At 37.6% G+C, this 17,431-nt stretch overlaps 2 annotated features.

Moving 5' to 3' along the window:
* Positions 15,387–16,197: an enhancer, noted in NCBI's record as "OCT4-NANOG-H3K27ac hESC enhancer chr5:165858339-165859149 (GRCh37/hg19 assembly coordinates)". NCBI's record gives its function as "activates a minimal SCP1, AML or CMV promoter by ChIP-STARR-seq in naive H9 embryonic stem cells {active_cell/tissue: H9 hESC(naive)}" and the evidence as "EXISTENCE:reporter gene assay evidence [ECO:0000049][PMID:30033119]".
* Positions 16,198–17,008: an enhancer, noted in NCBI's record as "OCT4-NANOG-H3K27ac hESC enhancer chr5:165857528-165858338 (GRCh37/hg19 assembly coordinates)". NCBI's record gives its function as "activates a minimal SCP1, AML or CMV promoter by ChIP-STARR-seq in primed H9 embryonic stem cells {active_cell/tissue: H9 hESC(primed)}" and the evidence as "EXISTENCE:reporter gene assay evidence [ECO:0000049][PMID:30033119]".

Below are 17,431 nucleotides of genomic sequence, written 5' to 3'. Positions count from 1 at the left end.
AACTGAAGGAGATAGAGACATGAAAAACCCTTAAAAAAAAAAAATCAATGAATCCAGGAGCGGGATTTTTGAAAAGATTAACAAAACAGTTAGACTGCTAGCCAGACTAACAAAGAAGAAAAAAAAATCGAATAGAAACCATAAAAACTGATAAAGGGGATATCACCAGTGATCCCACAGAAATGCAAACTACCATCAAAGAATACTATAAACACCTCTATGCAAATAAACTAGAAAATCTAGAAGAAATGGATCAATTCCTGGACTCATACACTCTCCCAAGGCTAAACCAGGAAGAAGTCAAATCCCTGAATAGACCAATAACAAGTTCTGAAATTGAGGCAGTAATTAATAGCCTACCAACCAAAAAAAGCCCAGGACCAGATGGATTCACAGCTGAATTCTACCAGAGGTACAAAGAGGAGCTGGTACCATGCTTTCTGAAATTATTCCAAACAATAGAAAAAGAGGGACTCCTCCCTAACTCATTTTATGAGACCAACATCATCCTGATACCAAAACCTGCCAGAGATATTAAAAAAAAGGGGGGGAATTTCAGGCCAATATCCCTGATGAATATCGATGTGAAAATCTTCAATAAAATACTGGCAAACCAAATCCAGAAGCACCTCAAAAAGCTGATCCACCACATTCAAGATGGCTTCATTCCTGGCATGCAAGATGGGTTCGACATATGCAAATCAATAAATGTAATCCATCACATAAACAGAATAAATGACAAAAACCACATGATTATCTCAATAGATGCAGAAAAGGCCTTCAATAAAATTCAACAATCCTTCATGCCAAAAACTCTCAATAAAGTAGGTATTGATGGAACACATCTCAAAATAATAAGAGCTATTTATGAAAAACCTACAGCCAATATCATACTGAATGGGCAAAGGCTGGAAACGTGCCCTTTGAAAACCAGCACAAGACAAGCATGCCCTCTCTCACCACTCCTATTCAATATAGTATTGGAAGTTCTGGCCAGGGCAATCAGGCAAGATAAAGAAATAAAGGGAATTCAAATAGGAAGAGAGGAAGTCAAATTCTCTCTGTTTGCAGATAACATAATTGTGTATTTAGAAAACCCCACTGTCTCAGTCCAAAATCTCCTTAAGCTGATAAGCAAAGTCTCAGGACATAAAATCAATGTGTAAAAATCACAAGCATTCCTATACACCAATAATAAACAAACAGAGAGCCACATCATGAGTGAACTCCCATTCACAAATGCTACAAAGCGAATAAAATGCTTAGGAGTACAACTTACAAGGGATGTGAAGGACCGCTTCAAGGAAAATTACAAACCACTGCTCAAGGAAATAAGAGAGGACACAAACAAATGGAAAATCATTCCGTGCTTATGGATAGGAAGAATCAGTATCGTGAAAATGGCCATACTGCCCAAAGTAATTTATATATTCAATGTTATCCCCATCAAGCTACCATTGACTTTCTTCACAGAATTAGAAAAAACTACTTTAAATTTCATATGGAACCAAAATAGAGCCTGCATTGCCAAGACAATCCTAAGCAAAAAGAACAAAGCTGGAGGCATCAAAGCTACCTGACTTCAAACTATACTACAAGGTTACAGTTACCAAAACAGTATGGTGCTGGCACCAAAACAGGTATATAGACCAATGCAATAGAACAGAGGCCTCAGAAATAACACCACACATCTACAGCCATCTGATCTTTGACAAACCTGACAAAACCAAGCAATAGGGGAAGGATTCCCTATTTAATAAACGGTGTTGGGAAAACTGGGTAACCATATGCAGAAAACTGAAACTGGAACCCTTCCTTACACCATATATAAAAATTAACTCAAAATAGATTAAAGACTTAAACATAAGACCTAAAACCATAAAAACCCTAGAAGAAAACTTAGGCAATACCATTCAGGACATAGGCATGGGCAAAGACTTCATGACTCAAACACCAAAAATAATGGCAACAAAAGCCAAAATAGACAAATGGGATCTAATCAAACTAAAGAGCTTCCGCAAATTAAAAGAAACTATTATCAGAGTGAACAGGCCACCTACATTAAGGGAGAAAATTTTTGCAATCATCCATCTGACAAAGGGCTAATATCCAAAATCTACAAGGAACTTAAATTTACAAGAAAAAAACAACCCCATCAAAAAGTGGGAGAAAGTTATGAACAGACACTTCTCAAAAGAAGACATTTATATGGCCAACAAACAGATGAAAAAAGGCTCATCATCACTGGTCATTAGAGAAATGCAAATCAAAACCACAATGAGACATCATCTCATGGCAGTTAGAATGGTGATCATTAAAAAGTCAAGAAACAACAGATGCTGGAGAGGATGTGAAGAAATAGGAACACTTTTACACTGTTGGTGGGAGTGTAAATTAGTTCAACCATTGTGGAAGACAGTGTGGTGATTCCTCAAGGATCTAGAACCAGAAATACAATTTGATCCAGCAATCCCATTACTGGGTATGTACCCAAAGGATTATAAATCATTCTATTATAAAGACACATGCACATGTATGTTTATTGCAGTACTATCCACAATAGTGAAGGCTTGGAACCAACCGAAATGCCCATCAATGATAGACTGGATAAAGAAAATGTGGCACATATACACCATGGAATACTACGCAGCCATAAAAAAGGATGAGTTCATGTCCTTTGCAGGGACATGGATGTAGCTGGAAACTATCATTCTCAGCAAACTAACACAGGAACAGAAAACCAAACACCTCATGTTCTCACTCATAAGTGGGAGTTGAACAGTGAGAACACATGACACAGGGAGGGAAACATCACACACTGGGGCCTGTCAGAGGGGGTGGGGATGAGAGGAGGGAGAGCATTAGGACAAATAGCTAATGTAGCTGATGGGTTGATGGGTGCAGCAAACCACCATGGCACATGTATATCTATGTAACAAACCTGCATGCTCTGCACATGTATCCCAGAACTTAAAGTATATATATTTAAAAAAAACTTGACAAATTTGATTTAAAAAAAATTATCCACATATCCATGAAGCCCCAAAATTTTGAAATAGGATAAGTTCAAAAAGATCTATACACAGACACATCATACTAAAAAGATTGTAAGCCAAAGACAAAGAGAAAATATTAAATCTGCAAGAGAAAAATGATTCATGTTCGAGAACATTTTAATAAGATTAACAGTGGACTTCTCAGAGACAATGAAGTCCAAAGGTAGTTGGATGACATTCATGGTGCTGAAAGAGAAACACCATCAAACAATAATGTTACATGTACGGCACAACTATCTTTCAGAAATGAAAGGGAAATAATAAAGACCCTCTCAGATGAACAAGAAGTGGGAGAATTTGTTGATAGCAGGCCTGACTTACAAAATATACTAAAATAATTTCTTTAGACTGAAAGCAAGTGAACCCAGGCAGTAATTCCAATCCACGTGAAGGAATGAAGCATGCTTGTAAAAGTAATTATGTACTTACAGAATGATAGTTTAAGTTCATGTTTGTTCTCTGATTTTCTCAACTGATTTATAAAGCAATTATATAAAAATTATGTGTATAATTGTACTGTTAGATTTTAACATATAGATAGGTGATACTTTTGACAGTAGCAGCAGAAGGCAAGAGGGAGCAAACCTGTATTGAAGCAAGGAAGTGACACCAGATGAGAACTTTAATCCACCAAAATAAATTGCAGAAAGTATACTGTAAATGACGAAGTGAACGTAACAAATTGTGTAAATATATAATTAATCTCTTTTCTTCTCTCAGAATTTATGAGACATACAGAGTTATAACAATGTATTATTGCTGTGGTAACATATATAGATGCAATATGTATATAATATTAGCAAAAAATGAAGAAGAAATAGAGATACAGGAGTAACATTTCTATATCTCACTAGAAGTAGCTTAGTATAAATCTAAACTGCATTCTCATAAGTTAAGATGTAGCTAAGTAGATGCTGTCCTGTCTTCAAGAAAAATACTTTATATCACAGATAAAAATAGGTTGAAAAAAATCGGTTGAAAGGAAAATAAGGAAAAAATGTATATTAAGCAAATCACTATAACATGAATGCTGCAGTGGCTAGTGTATTATCAGTCAAAATAAACTTTAAAATTTAAAATGTTACAAGAGCTTAAGGAATTCTATAATGATAAATGTTTCAATTTATTGCATGATATAATTATAAGCTTACACTCGCCTAAATACAGATGCAAACAGAGCCCCAGATTACATAAAGCAAAAAGTGAAAGAATTAAAGGGAATTCCCAAAATACGGAATTCAGTGATGATAGTTGGGTATTTTAATACTTCAATTTCAATTGTGGTGAGAACTGCTTGGCAGAAAATCAACAAGATAAGACTTGAGGAACACTATAAACCAATTAGACCTAAAAGACACCTATGGAACATTCTATGCAACTACAACAGAGTATAGATTCTCTCAAGTCCACGTGGAAAACTCTGAGATAGACCATCTGCTACATTATAAAACAAGTCCTCCACATATTTAAAATGATGGAAATTATGCAAAATATGTTTTCAACCACATGGAACAAAATTTGAAGTCAATAACAGGAGTAAAGTTACATATATGTTGAAAGTAAGTAACATACCCCAACATAAGCAATGGGTGAAAGAAGAAATAACAAAGGAAATTAGAAAATACTTTAATATGAATGCAAATGAAGACACAACATATGGAAGCTCATGGGATGCAGGTAAAGCAGTGTTCACAGAGGAATGTATGGGCATAAACATCCATATTTTAAAAAATAGAACAAACTCAAGGATACAATCTACTTTCTACCTTTATGACACTGGAAAAAGAAGAACATTCTAAATCTAAAGCAAATAGACAAAGGAAATAATAAAAATTAGAGTGAGATTAATGAACTAGGAAATAGAAAAACAAACAAAAATCAACAAAACTGAAAGTAGGTTCTTTGAAAAGGTCAATACAATTGAAAAAACTTTTAACTACATTGAACAACGAGAAGAAAAATAGTAGGGAGAAAAGATTCAAATTAATAAAATCAAGAATGAAATAGGGGCATGGGGGTGGTCATCACTACTGCGCTTCCAGAAATAAAAAGGATCATAAGGGAATAGCTCTATACCAACTAATTAGATAACTTAGAAAAACTGACACTTTCCTAGAAAAACTACTGAAACTGAACTGAAACGGGAATAGAAAATCTGAATAAATCTACGAAAACAAGAGATCAAATTAGTAACTAAAAAATTCCCACACAAAATAAAAGGGCCAAAATCCAGACAGCTTCGCTGGTAAGTTGTACCAAACATTTAAGAAAAATTAATACCAATTCTCATGAACACTTCAAAAAATAGAAAAGCAACACTCCCTAGCTTATTCTATGAAGCCAGTGTTAATTTTCATGTCAAAACCTGAAAAAGACAATCACAAGAAAAATAAAATACAGATTAATATTGCTTATGAATATAGTTTCGAAATTCCTCCACTACCTAACACTGCCAAACAAAATCTAACATATAAAAATAATTATACAAGATGACCAAGTAGAATTGATTCCACAAAGTCAAGTGTGGTCTGACTTTTAAAAATCATTTATTGTCATATGTCATATCAATAGAGTAACTCACAAAACCTACATGATAGTCTCAATAGGTGCAGAAAAAGCCTTTTGGCGAAATCCAACACACTTTCACGATAAAAACAACAACTAGAAATAGAAGAGAAATTCCTCAACCTGATAAAAAGCATTTATTTAAAAACCCTTAGCTAACATCCTACTTAATAGTGAAAGACTTAATGCTTTGCCCTAAGGTTAAGAATAAGACAAGGACATTCAGTTGTACCACTTCTATGCACTGTTAGTTCTAGACAGGGCAATTAGGCAAAAAGAGAGAAATAAATGATATCCAGACTGGAATTGAAGAATTAAAACTATGTTTACAAATGCTATGATCTTGAATACAGAAAATTCTAGTAAAAAATTATTAGAACTAATAAATAAGTTTGACAGTATAGAGAATGAAAATATAAAAATCTATTTTTATACACTAACAGTGAAAATTTTCACCATGACTAACACAATAATTCAATTTATAATAGCATCAAAAATAATAAAATAACTACAACTAAATGAAACAAAAAACAAAAAGTACAAAAGATTATGGGAAGAAATTAAAAAGAGATATAAATAAATTCAAAGAAATCACGTTTGTGGATGGGAAAATATAGTATTATTAACATGGTTATATTCCCCAAATTGATCTACAGATTCAACACAAACCATGTGTCAAAATCCCAGCTGGCATCTTTTCCAGAAATTGTGAGGATGATCTTAACATTCTTATGGACATGTAAGGAATCCACAAGAGCCAAAACTATATTGAAAAATAAGAAAATTGGAGGACTCACTCTTCCCAACTTTAAAAGTTATTACAAAGCTACAGAGATCAGGACAAAGTGATGACAGAATAAGGACAGACATACACATCAATGGAATAGAATTGAGAGTTCAGAAACAAACCGTTACATTTGCAGACAACTGCATTTCACCAAGAAAATCCAATAGGGATACGGTTTTCAACAAATGGTCTTAAGATAACTGGATATCCTCACCCAAAAATTCATTAATATAGACTCTTTCCAGGGCCGGGCACGGTGGCTCATGCCTGTAATCCCAGCACTTTGGAAGGCTGAGGCAGACATATCACGAGGTCAAGAGATCGAGACCATCTTGGCCAACATGGTGAAACCCCATCTCTACTAAAAATACAAAAATTAGCTGGGCGTGGTGGCATGCGCCTGTAATCCCAGCTACTCAGGAGGCTCAGGCAGGGCAATCACTTGAACCCAGGAGGTAGAGATTGCAGTGAGCCAAGATCTGGCCACTGTTATCCAGCCTGGCAACAGAGCGAGACTCCATCTCAAAAAAAAAAAAAAAAAAAAAAAGACTCTTTCCTCATGCCATAAGCAACTAGTTAACTCAAAATGGATCAAAGATCTGAATGTAAGTCCTAAAACTCTGTTAGAAGAATATATAGGAATAAAATTGCATTATCTTGGGCTAGGAAAAGCCTTCTTAAATATGACACCAAAACAAAAGTAACAAAAGAAAAAAGAGGTAAATTGCATGGTCTTAAAATTAAAATCTGTGCTTCAAAGTGTATGATTAAGAAAATTGAAAACCACCTACAGAATGGGAGAAAACATTTTTAAATCATGTCTGATAAGAGACTTCATTATAAAATATATAAAGAACTCTTATACCTTAATAGTACAAAGACAAACAATTCGATTTAAAAATGTGCAAATAGTTTGAATAGACATTTATCCAAAAGAACACATAAAAATGATCAATAATCTCATACAAAGTGTTCAACCAACTAGGATGGCTATAATCAAAAAGACAGAATGAAGTGTTGGTGAAGATGTGGGGAAATTGTTATCTTCATAGATTGCTGGTCAGAAAGTACACTTTTGAAAACAGTCTGGTAGTTCTTCAAAAAGTTAAATATACGGTAATAAACAATATGACCCAGTAATTCTACTCCTAGGAATGTATACCCAAGTGGACAGAAAATATATGTCCACATAAAAACTTGTACGCAAATGTGCATAGTAGCCTTATGTATCATAGCTAAAAGGTGAAAACAGGCCAAATATCTATAAACTGATGAATGGATAAACAGAATATGGTGTTGTATTAGTCCATTTTCACACTGCTGTAAAGAAATACCCGAGACTGGGTAATTTATAAAGAAAAGAGGTTTAATTGACTTATAGTTCAGCATGGCTGGGGAGGCCTCAGGAAACTTACAATCATGGAAGAAGGTGAAGCAGGCACCTTCTAGGCCTCTAGACCTGTGATGGGAGGGCTACCTCAAAGATCACTGACATGCCCTGTAGACGTTTTCCCATTGCATTAGGGCTATTAACATTTGGCTTCTCATTACTTATGCAAATTTCTGCAGCCAGCTTGAATTTCTCCCCAGAAATCGGGTTGTTCTCTTCTACTTCATGGTCAGGCAGCAAATTTTCCAAATTTCTTTTTGAGACAGAGTCTCACTCCGTCACCCAGGCTGGAGTCCAGTGGCATGATCTCAGCTCACTGCAACCTCTGCCTCCTGAGTTCAAGCGACTCTTGTGCCTCAGCCTCCTGAGTAGCTGGGAATACAGGTGGGCACCACCAAGCCCAACTAAAAATGTTTGTATTTTTAGTAGAGACGGGTTTCACCATGCTAGCCAGGCTGGTCTCCAACTCCTGACTTCCAGTGATCTGCCCGCCTGGGGCCTCCCAAATAAAGTGCTGGGATTACAGCCAATTTTCCAAATTTTTATGCTCAGCTTCCCTTTTAAACGTAAATTCCCATTTCAAATCATCCCTTTGTGAATGCTCATAACTATGCACTTTCAGAAAAACCCATGTCACATCTAGAATGCTTTGCTGCTTAGAAATTTCTTCTGCCAGATACCCTAAAACATCTTCCTCAAGTTTAAAGTTCCACAGATCTCCAGGGCAGGGGGGAAATGCTGCCAAACTCTCAGCTAAAGCATAGCAAGAATGACCTTTACTCCAGTTCCCAATAAGTTCCTCATCTCCATCTCAGACCTCCTCAGCCTGGATTTCACTGTCTATATCATTTTCAGCATTTTGGTTAAAACCATTCAACAAGTATCTAGGAATTTTCAAACTTTCCTCCATCTTCCTATCTTCTTCTGAGCCATGCAAACTGTTTCAACCTCTGCCTGTTACCCAGTTCCAAAGATGCTTCCACATTTTCAGGTATCTTTATAGCAGTACCCAACTCAGCTGGTACCAATTCTTTGTATTAGTCCATTTTCACACTACTATAAAGAACACCTGAGGCTGGGCGTGGTGGCTCACACCTGTAATCCCAGCATTTTGGGAGGCTGAGGCAGGTGCATCACTTGAGGTCAGGAGTTTGAGAGCAGCCTGGCCAACATGGTGAAACCCCGTCTCCATTAAAAATACAAAATTTAGCCGGGTGTCATGGTGCATGCCTGTAATCCCAGCTACTCGGGAAGCTGAGGCAGGAGGTGCAGGTTGCAATGAGCCGAGATTGTGCCACTGCACTCCAGCCCGGGCAACAAAGGGAGACTCCATCTCAAAAAAAAAAAAAAAAAAAAAAAAAAAAAAAAAAAAAAAAGAATACCTGAGTCTGGGTAATTTATAAAGGAAAGATGTTTAATTGACTCACAGTTCCACATGGCTGGGAGAGGCCTCAGGAATCACGGCAGAAGGCGAAAAAGCAAGGTACATCTTACCCAGCAACAGGAGAGAAGGAGTAGGCAGGGGAAACTGCCAGTTTTATCCCATCAGATCTCGTGAGAACTCTCTCACTATCATGAGAAGAGTATGGGGGAATCCGCCCCACCTGGTCCCTTCCTCATCGCGTGGGAATTATAGTTTGTGATGAGATTTGAGTGGGAGCCAAACCATATCAGGTATATTTCTACAATAGAATATTATTTGGCAAAAAAAGGATTATAGTATCAATGCTATTATGGGGATGAATCTTGAAAATATTAGCTAAGTGAAAATAGCCAGTCACAAAAGACCACATATTATATTATTTCATTTATATAAAATGTCCATAATATGCAAACCTATAGAGATAGAAAGTAGATTAGTGGTTGCCTAGAGCAGGGTGGAGGAGGACTGGGGAAAATGGGGAGTAATTGACAGTAGATACAGAGTTTCTTGTAAAGGCGATGTAATATTCTAAAATTGATTGTATTATAGTTACGGTTATACAACTTGATGAATACTATAAAAACCATCAAATTGTTTTTACATAATCTTTACATCGAAATTCATTCAACATATTGGTGAATTTGTGGTATATAAACTATATTTTAATAAGGTTGATTTAAAAAATAAAGTTGAAACTACTTCACTAGAGTTATTTGTTTGCTATATACATAACGTAAATTAACTTCAATGGTCAAATTGCACTAATGTCATCAGGTGCAACACTTTTGAAAACTAAACTTTTAAATCAACAACCACAATCATGAAATCTAATATTTCCTGAATGCTAATTTTGTGCTTGGTGCTGTTGCAAGTTCCTTTTATCTTTCTTAATATTTTGCAACAACACTCTTGGGTGGATAATGTCATTATCTCCATTCTTAAGATGAAAAAAATGAGGCAAACAGAGGTTAAGGTCACAAAGAAAAGCTTGAAAAAGTTAAATTTGGTTTACTATACATTTGCATCAAGCCATTTTTTCCATTAAGGAATTTAACTGGTGTTTCTGAGGGTGAAGAAATTCTAGTTATGTGTAGAAGGCATCTTCTTTTTCTTCCTCTTAATTAATACCAAATATGCTTTGGTTTCATACGGATTTCTCACAATTTAGGAAATGGACAGTACATCATGGCTGAATCAGTTTTCTTATACATCTTTTCCCACACTGTGAATTCCTGGAATGCATGGCTAATATCATCTATGACTCACTTCTCAACTCCCTGGAAGTGGCATTGTAAGAGTAAGTATTTGATAGAAGTACGAGGAGTGAATTAAACCTGAAAATACCACAATGGGTAATTTTCTGTTACTAGTGTTTGTTGGAAATCTCTATTTTCTCTATAATCATTACGTTAAGCAGAACATTTCAACAAACCATAGGCCATTGCAATATGGGGGCTTTTGTTTCTGAATCTTCTTCAGGGCAGAATCTATATGCTGAAATTAATAATAACTCTGCTGTTCATGGAGAATGAGTTAAATCACTCTAATAAACATGACAAAATCTCTGACATAACAGAATTTCTAGAAGAGGTTTGATTTTTAAGATTCTAAAATTTTAGCATTTTCTACAAGAAGCAATTTTTATCTTTCTCAGAAATTAAATATTCATTTCAGAATTTCTAGAATAAACATTCTGATCACAGTTTTATTCTGTGTGAGAAAGATGATCACTTATTGTATACAAAAGCTGAGCTTACATTCTTTTAAAAAATGTCAGAATGTGATTTCTCAAACTTGAAGTTTAAATACTATTATATTTTCATGTAAAAATTTTGATTCAAATTGTAAATATAAACTGTCCTGTTTATGCCTTTTAGTCTTTGTTTAAATACTTTAGGTCAAAATTGAGGATCTGTTTAACACAACTTAGTAGTGATTGATATTGTTGCAAGGCAATTCTTCGTGGCATTTGTATATGCCTTGTGACAGCTTTTGTCCCAGAATATCTTTTCAAGAATGTTTATACAGCAGAATAAATTTTTCTTTTATTTTTTAATTTTTTGAGACCAAATCTCGCTCTGTGGCCCAGGCTGGAGTGAAGTGGCATGACCTCAGGTCACGGCAACCTCCACCTCCCAGGTTCAAGCAATTCTCCTGCTTTAGCCTCCCAAGTAGCTGGGATTGCAAGCACCTGCCACCACCCCTGGCTTTTTTTTTTTTTTTTTTGTATTTTTAGTAGAGACAGGGTTTCACCACGTTGGCCAGACTGGTTGGAGCTCCTGACCTCAAGTGATCTGCCTGCCTCAGCCTCCCAAAGTGCTATGATTACAGGCGTGAGCCACTGTGCTGGGCTTGACTTTGGATAATAATTTCTCCCTCTCGGACAAAGGGCAGATTTTTTTTTTCCTGAACAATATAAGAAAGATAATATCTGCCTCTGGGACAAAGACTGGGTAGGTTTGCTAGCAATACCTTTAACAGGTCGGGGGTTCCTAAGGTCAATATTTCTCAGAATGACACAGACCCACTATGTGAGGTAGGATCCACCTGGGCCCATCGCTTTATCACCCCTGTGGGACTTGGGGGTTAAAAAGAAGTAATGCAAACATGAAGTTATGCTGCCTGCAATGTGGTGAGGAATAAAATCTTGTGTCTTTGACCCAGAAGTCTTATGTCTCTACTAATATCTATGAAACTGTGGCAAGTTACCTTGTTAGTGTGAAAGTAGGGTAAAATCTCAGAACCTTCTCAGTTCTTGACAAATATAGGCTTCTAAACATAGACTCACACAATGTGGATACTTAACATAATATGCAAATATTGATAAAAATATATTGCCAAATCCATATACCTTACTCCTATAATAATGAACGTAACAGACCAGTGTAATCTAATATGCATTCTGGCAATGGTCACCATGTTACAAATTCATTTACAAATCAAGACATTTTCTTTTTTTTTTTTTGAGACAGAGTATCGCTCTGTCGCCCAGGCTGGAGTGCAGTGGTGAGATCTCGGCTCACGGCAAGCTCCGCCTCCCAGGTTCACGCCATTCTCCTGCCTCAGCCTCCCAAGTAGCTGGGACTACAGGCGCCTGCCACCACGCCCGGCTAATTTTTTGTATTTTTAGTAGAGACGGGGTTTCACTGTGTTAGCCGGGATGATCTCCATCTCCTGACCTCGTGATCCACCCGCCTTGGCCTCCCAAAGTGCTGGGATTACAAGCATGTACCACCGTGCCCAGCCAAATCATGACATTTTCTTACACAGTTTCTATTTATTTAAAAAATGTTTAGTTTTATTATATTAAAAATTGCAATTTAAATATACTCTCCCAGATTTATCACAGAAAAACTAAGCAAAAAACAATTCAAATACAACATCACAGTTGTAAATGCTTTACCAATGGTTTCTTGTCAGATTCCTTGGCCTCCTAAGGTTTTCAAATTCAAAGCTTTTCTGTTGGCTAAAAACCAGGTACAACACAGTTATGTCATCAGATTAAGCTCTAATCCAATAAACATTGCAATCTTAATAAAACCACTCATTATGCCAGGGTGGTATCAGACCTACCTTTTAATAAGTAAATTTGTGCTATGTAGTACTAAGTAGTTGTGTATATGCATTTTTTCTTTTTGTCTGTCTTTCTAATTTAAATAGGATAAAACAAAAACGCAAGGACTATTTCTCCTTGTGCTCTGAACTACCAACAAATAGTGTCCACTATAATAAATGTTAATTGAATAAATGGACTTTGCATGTAAAAAAAAAAAAAACTGTGCCATGATTTAGGTCTATTCAACTATTAAAAAATGGCCTGGTTTTTCACATTCAGATGGTGAGTCCACCTGATATCGCTAGAGTATTTATTACTGTAAAAGCTGTTTGAGAAAATGTACATAGGAAAGTGGCCAGTTGTATTCAAGGTCATCTAATTTAAACATTATTGATTCAAGTCAAGTTTATCATCTGTGATTCTTGACGGTCCCTGTACTGCCAAATAAAATTTACCACGAAACAGTCAATGTTTATAAAATGCCAAACCTTCATTAGGTGACACCTCAATAATAACCATGGACAAGACCCTGCCTATAAGGACCCAAGAGCTGAAATTGACAGGAAGGCAGGCAAAAAACATAAACAAGTGAATTGCAAAAGCAAATGACTCCCACCATCTGCTTAGCTGTGTCTGCTCTCATGTGGCCAGGAGCCTTTTGAGAAGACACGGAAGCATGCGGGTGCCCTCTATCATATGTTATCTCTCCTCCCATCTGTGGTGCCCTCTCGTGTGCTCAATGACATTACTTTGGCTTTGCTCTTCCCTATCGAAATACACAAGGTAGCAAAAAGGGAAGGGTAGGGGTTTCATAAGCCCACAAAAACGTTGAGCATGAGGATAGGATGTGATGCTTGGCAAGTTCCACCCTGTAGGGGGCCAAACAAGGGAAAAAAAATGAAGTAAGGTTTAAATACAGTAGGCCACATGAAAATTCATTTCTTCAATAAATGTTTGCTAAACACTTGATATGTGCCAGGTACCGTTGTAGACTCTGGAAATAAGGGGGAGAAATGGACTAGGGGAGGAAAGTCCTCCTCTTTGACTTCAGGAAGGTCATAGCTTACAGGAGGTAGAAAAACAAATGTATAAAATAATTTGAATGATTGTATCTGTCGTGGAAGAGACATTCTCAAAGCTTACATTTAAAATAACAGGGAGTGAGAGGCATCTGCTGTGGGCAAGTTTGTTAAGTAGGACTTCACATGGGTGGTAACATTTAAGCTGAGACCTGAGGGGTGAGAAGAAACCCAGTAAATAATTAGTTTGAGGTAAGAATAGGGAGAAGTTTACTTGCATTAAGACCCAGGAGCAGGAGGATCTTGGTGTGTCCTAGGAGAAGAAAGCAAGCCCGTGTTCTTGGATGAATGAGCAAAGGGAAATGCAGTGTGAGAGATCAGTAATGGAGAGGCGAGCACACGGCATACCAAGTCTTGGGCTATGGTGAAGAGTTTTTATTTTATTCTGCCATTGGAGATTTTTTTTTTTTTTTTTTGAGACAAAGTCTCACTGTGTCACCTAGGCTGGAGTGCAGTGGCACAATCTAGGCTATCTGCAACCTCTGCCTCCCAGGTTCAAGTGATTCTCCTGCCTCAGCCTCCCGAGCAGCTGGGACTACAGGTGCGTGCCACCACGCCCAGCTAATTTTCATATTTTTAGTAGAGACGAGGTTTCACCATATTGGCCAGGCTGGTCTCGAACTCCTGACCTTGTGATCCACCCACCTCAGCCTCCCAAAGTGCTGGGATTACAGGTGAGAGCCACCGCGCCTGGCCGCCATTGGAGATTCCTAACAGGATAATGTAATCAAATTTACTTTTAAGAAGATAGCTTCGACTGCTGTATCCAGAGTAGACTGGGAAGAAGGCAAGTAAATTATGAGAAAAAATAACATGTAGTTGGAGTGGGATTTCAAAAGAAAAATTAAAATGGTGACTGAATTCAAATAAGAAAGTAAGAATGAAAGACAGAGGTGTTACCATAGTCACCTCTGTCAATGCCGTGGTGCCTAAAGTGTAGCAGGGTGGTCACGTTTGAATGGGGGATGTTTTTTCTTTAGGACAATATATTTATGATTCCCATGGGATGTATTGGCTACTTGTTCTGTCTTCTAGGCATCACCTGAATTCCCTAGTTAGAGTTTCATATTTATATTTCTTGACAAATATTTGCCCACTTCTAAACAGGAAACATTGAATACACCCAAAAGATCATGATAGTTGCTGGGATGACAGCTTCTGGGTCCTGATTATTTGCTATCGCTGTTTCTGATGCTATCGTCCTAAGGTTAAATATGTTGGAAGGATATTGCAGCTCTCACACAGCCATGCCAGAGCGCTACAGCCATTCCGCCTTTCGTTAAGATAACAAGTGTAGGCTCTTCTTGTTCAATGAGACCGACCACAGCATTACAAATGGCACCAGTTTAAATGCCTTGTACAACATTGCAGGGGGAAAACTACAGATTTTTCAGTGCTGAGAAGAAGCACTGTGTATCGGCTCATTATTAAAAAGGAAGAGTATGTTTCACAAAATATGGCCTTGTGGGCTAAAGCTGTCTTTCTTTGTTCCTTGGAACAGCCGAGTGTGGCTTTACATCTCAGGCCAATTATCTTTCACCGTTTTTCAGAAACTGACAAAACCTATAAAACGAGCAATGATACAGAGACAGCATACCATTCTGCAGTTTACTTTGTACCCTGCATTTGCATCTGGATTTCGGTATTTCTCGTCCAAGGGTAAAAAAATAAGTAAATAAATAAAAAATATCTAACTATGGGAACAAAATGTGTTCCAATACAAAAACAACATACAAAAGCATACAAAACAAATAGCTGCTAATTCCAGCTGTCTCTCATCTCTTTACTGGACAGCCCTCTTAAAGAAAGGGGCCTCTTCATCAATACCCTCAATTTTTTTTCCCCCTAAGATAACAGGATTTGCCAGGAGCAAATCTGAACATTCTGCTACCCTTAAAGACAGCCCTCTCTTCAGCCTGGGTTTGAGGATGTAATCTTGGTTTTTCACTGAGAGCTGTTGGAGCTTGACGTGCAAAACAAACCATCCAGGCATGTGGAGTGATTTCATACAGGCTTGCTCTCACAGGAGAAGAGCAAAGAGTCAGAGGTAGATATTAATCATGACTCTCTATGAACAACACACTGTGCTCCCTTCGGGTCGATTCTTATTCTGGACCCCCGTAGTCCCAGGAAGCCCAGAGACACTGTCCTGCAGGCTCCTTTTGGCAGTACTCCCCATGGGAGAGACAATACAGAAGAGCAGTTTAAAAATCAAAATGGGACTGAATAAAGGATATGAACATTTTCTGATTTTTTTCACTTCCACAACACACATGAAATTCACTTAGAATATACTGTTAATAAAAAGAGAGATGATCAGAGGGATGTAGAATAGAGACTGCTAAAAACTGATTTTCAGATATTCTGTAATGCTCTGCAAGAGAAAACATTGTGTCAAATGTGAATTAAATTTGAACAACAGCCTTTCAAATGCAAATCCTTCGGAAGGGATGTCATTGATATACAACCTCTAAAAACCTTTCAAAAGAAATAAAATGGATAAATGTGATAATTAAGATCTCTATATATAGGCAAATGATCAGATCACATTTGTTCTGAAATGTTTTTGCACCTGCAACATCCAGGGCACATATAAAAAGGATCGATTTTGAAATTTGCAGGTTGGAGGTGAAAATGGAATGATAGCTTGTCTGACAGGGGCGAGGATTTTCCTCTGGTATGCTGAGACCCATTATTATGCACCCATAATTGCCAAGGCCCCCCACTGACCTCTATTCACTCTTCCCCAAGTAATCTTGGTTTCAGCTCTCCCCACAGCACCTCCCCTTTTCCCAGTGAAAGGTGTTAGCTACTCTGCTATCTGCAGCAATATTCTGCTAAACAGTAGTATGTATGAGAAGCTGACTGAGCTCCTTAGGAATGCAAGGAGAAGCACTGTTTTGCATTGAGCATTTTTTGGAAACAGAGCAGAAGGTTTCCTTGCAGAGTGACTTCAGGAGACAATCTACAAGCAAGTAGGGAGGGCAGGAGAAAGTAGAGAGAGAAGAGCCTGAAAATGTAGTTATGAGTGAATCCAAAAACAAAGGGTGTGTGTCTGCCGGGTTGGGGGGAGGGGGGAGGGGAGAGAGGGTGGATGTCAGAAACGAGAGTGGCTCCCCAGAGTTGTCACAAATTGAGGCAAGTGGGAAGGGGAGGTGTGCAGGGATTTGCATTCCTGGGTCTGTCAATCTTTGGCCACAGCTGCCCTGGGGAGAGGGCTCCAGTGAGGTGGACCTCTGAGGTTAAGGGCTTGATCCAGTGAGAGATGTAGCTGTGAGACCTCTGCAAGTGCTTAGTCCCAGCAGGACTCACAGAGATGTAGTTGGATGACTATGGGGGTATGGGTGGGAGGGTCCAGGTGGAGGATGAGAGACAGCGTCCACTCCAGTCATACACATAATGGAATTTCAGTACCCTCTCCCCTAAGGATTCCTCCTCATCAGTTTGACATATTATTTTTTCAGCTTACCGATAAATTATTCTCATGAAAGGGCCTTTACCTGAGAAAACACACGACACTATTCTCTAAAATTTACACCTATGAATTGCCTCATCATATCCATTTCAACTATAAT

Source organism: Homo sapiens, chromosome 5 (genome assembly GCF_000001405.40).
Source record: "Homo sapiens chromosome 5, GRCh38.p14 Primary Assembly".
Classification (NCBI taxonomy): domain Eukaryota; kingdom Metazoa; phylum Chordata; class Mammalia; order Primates; family Hominidae; genus Homo; species Homo sapiens.
The sequence above is the reverse complement of the archived record's forward strand: the minus strand, read 5'-3'. Positions and strand labels throughout refer to the sequence as shown.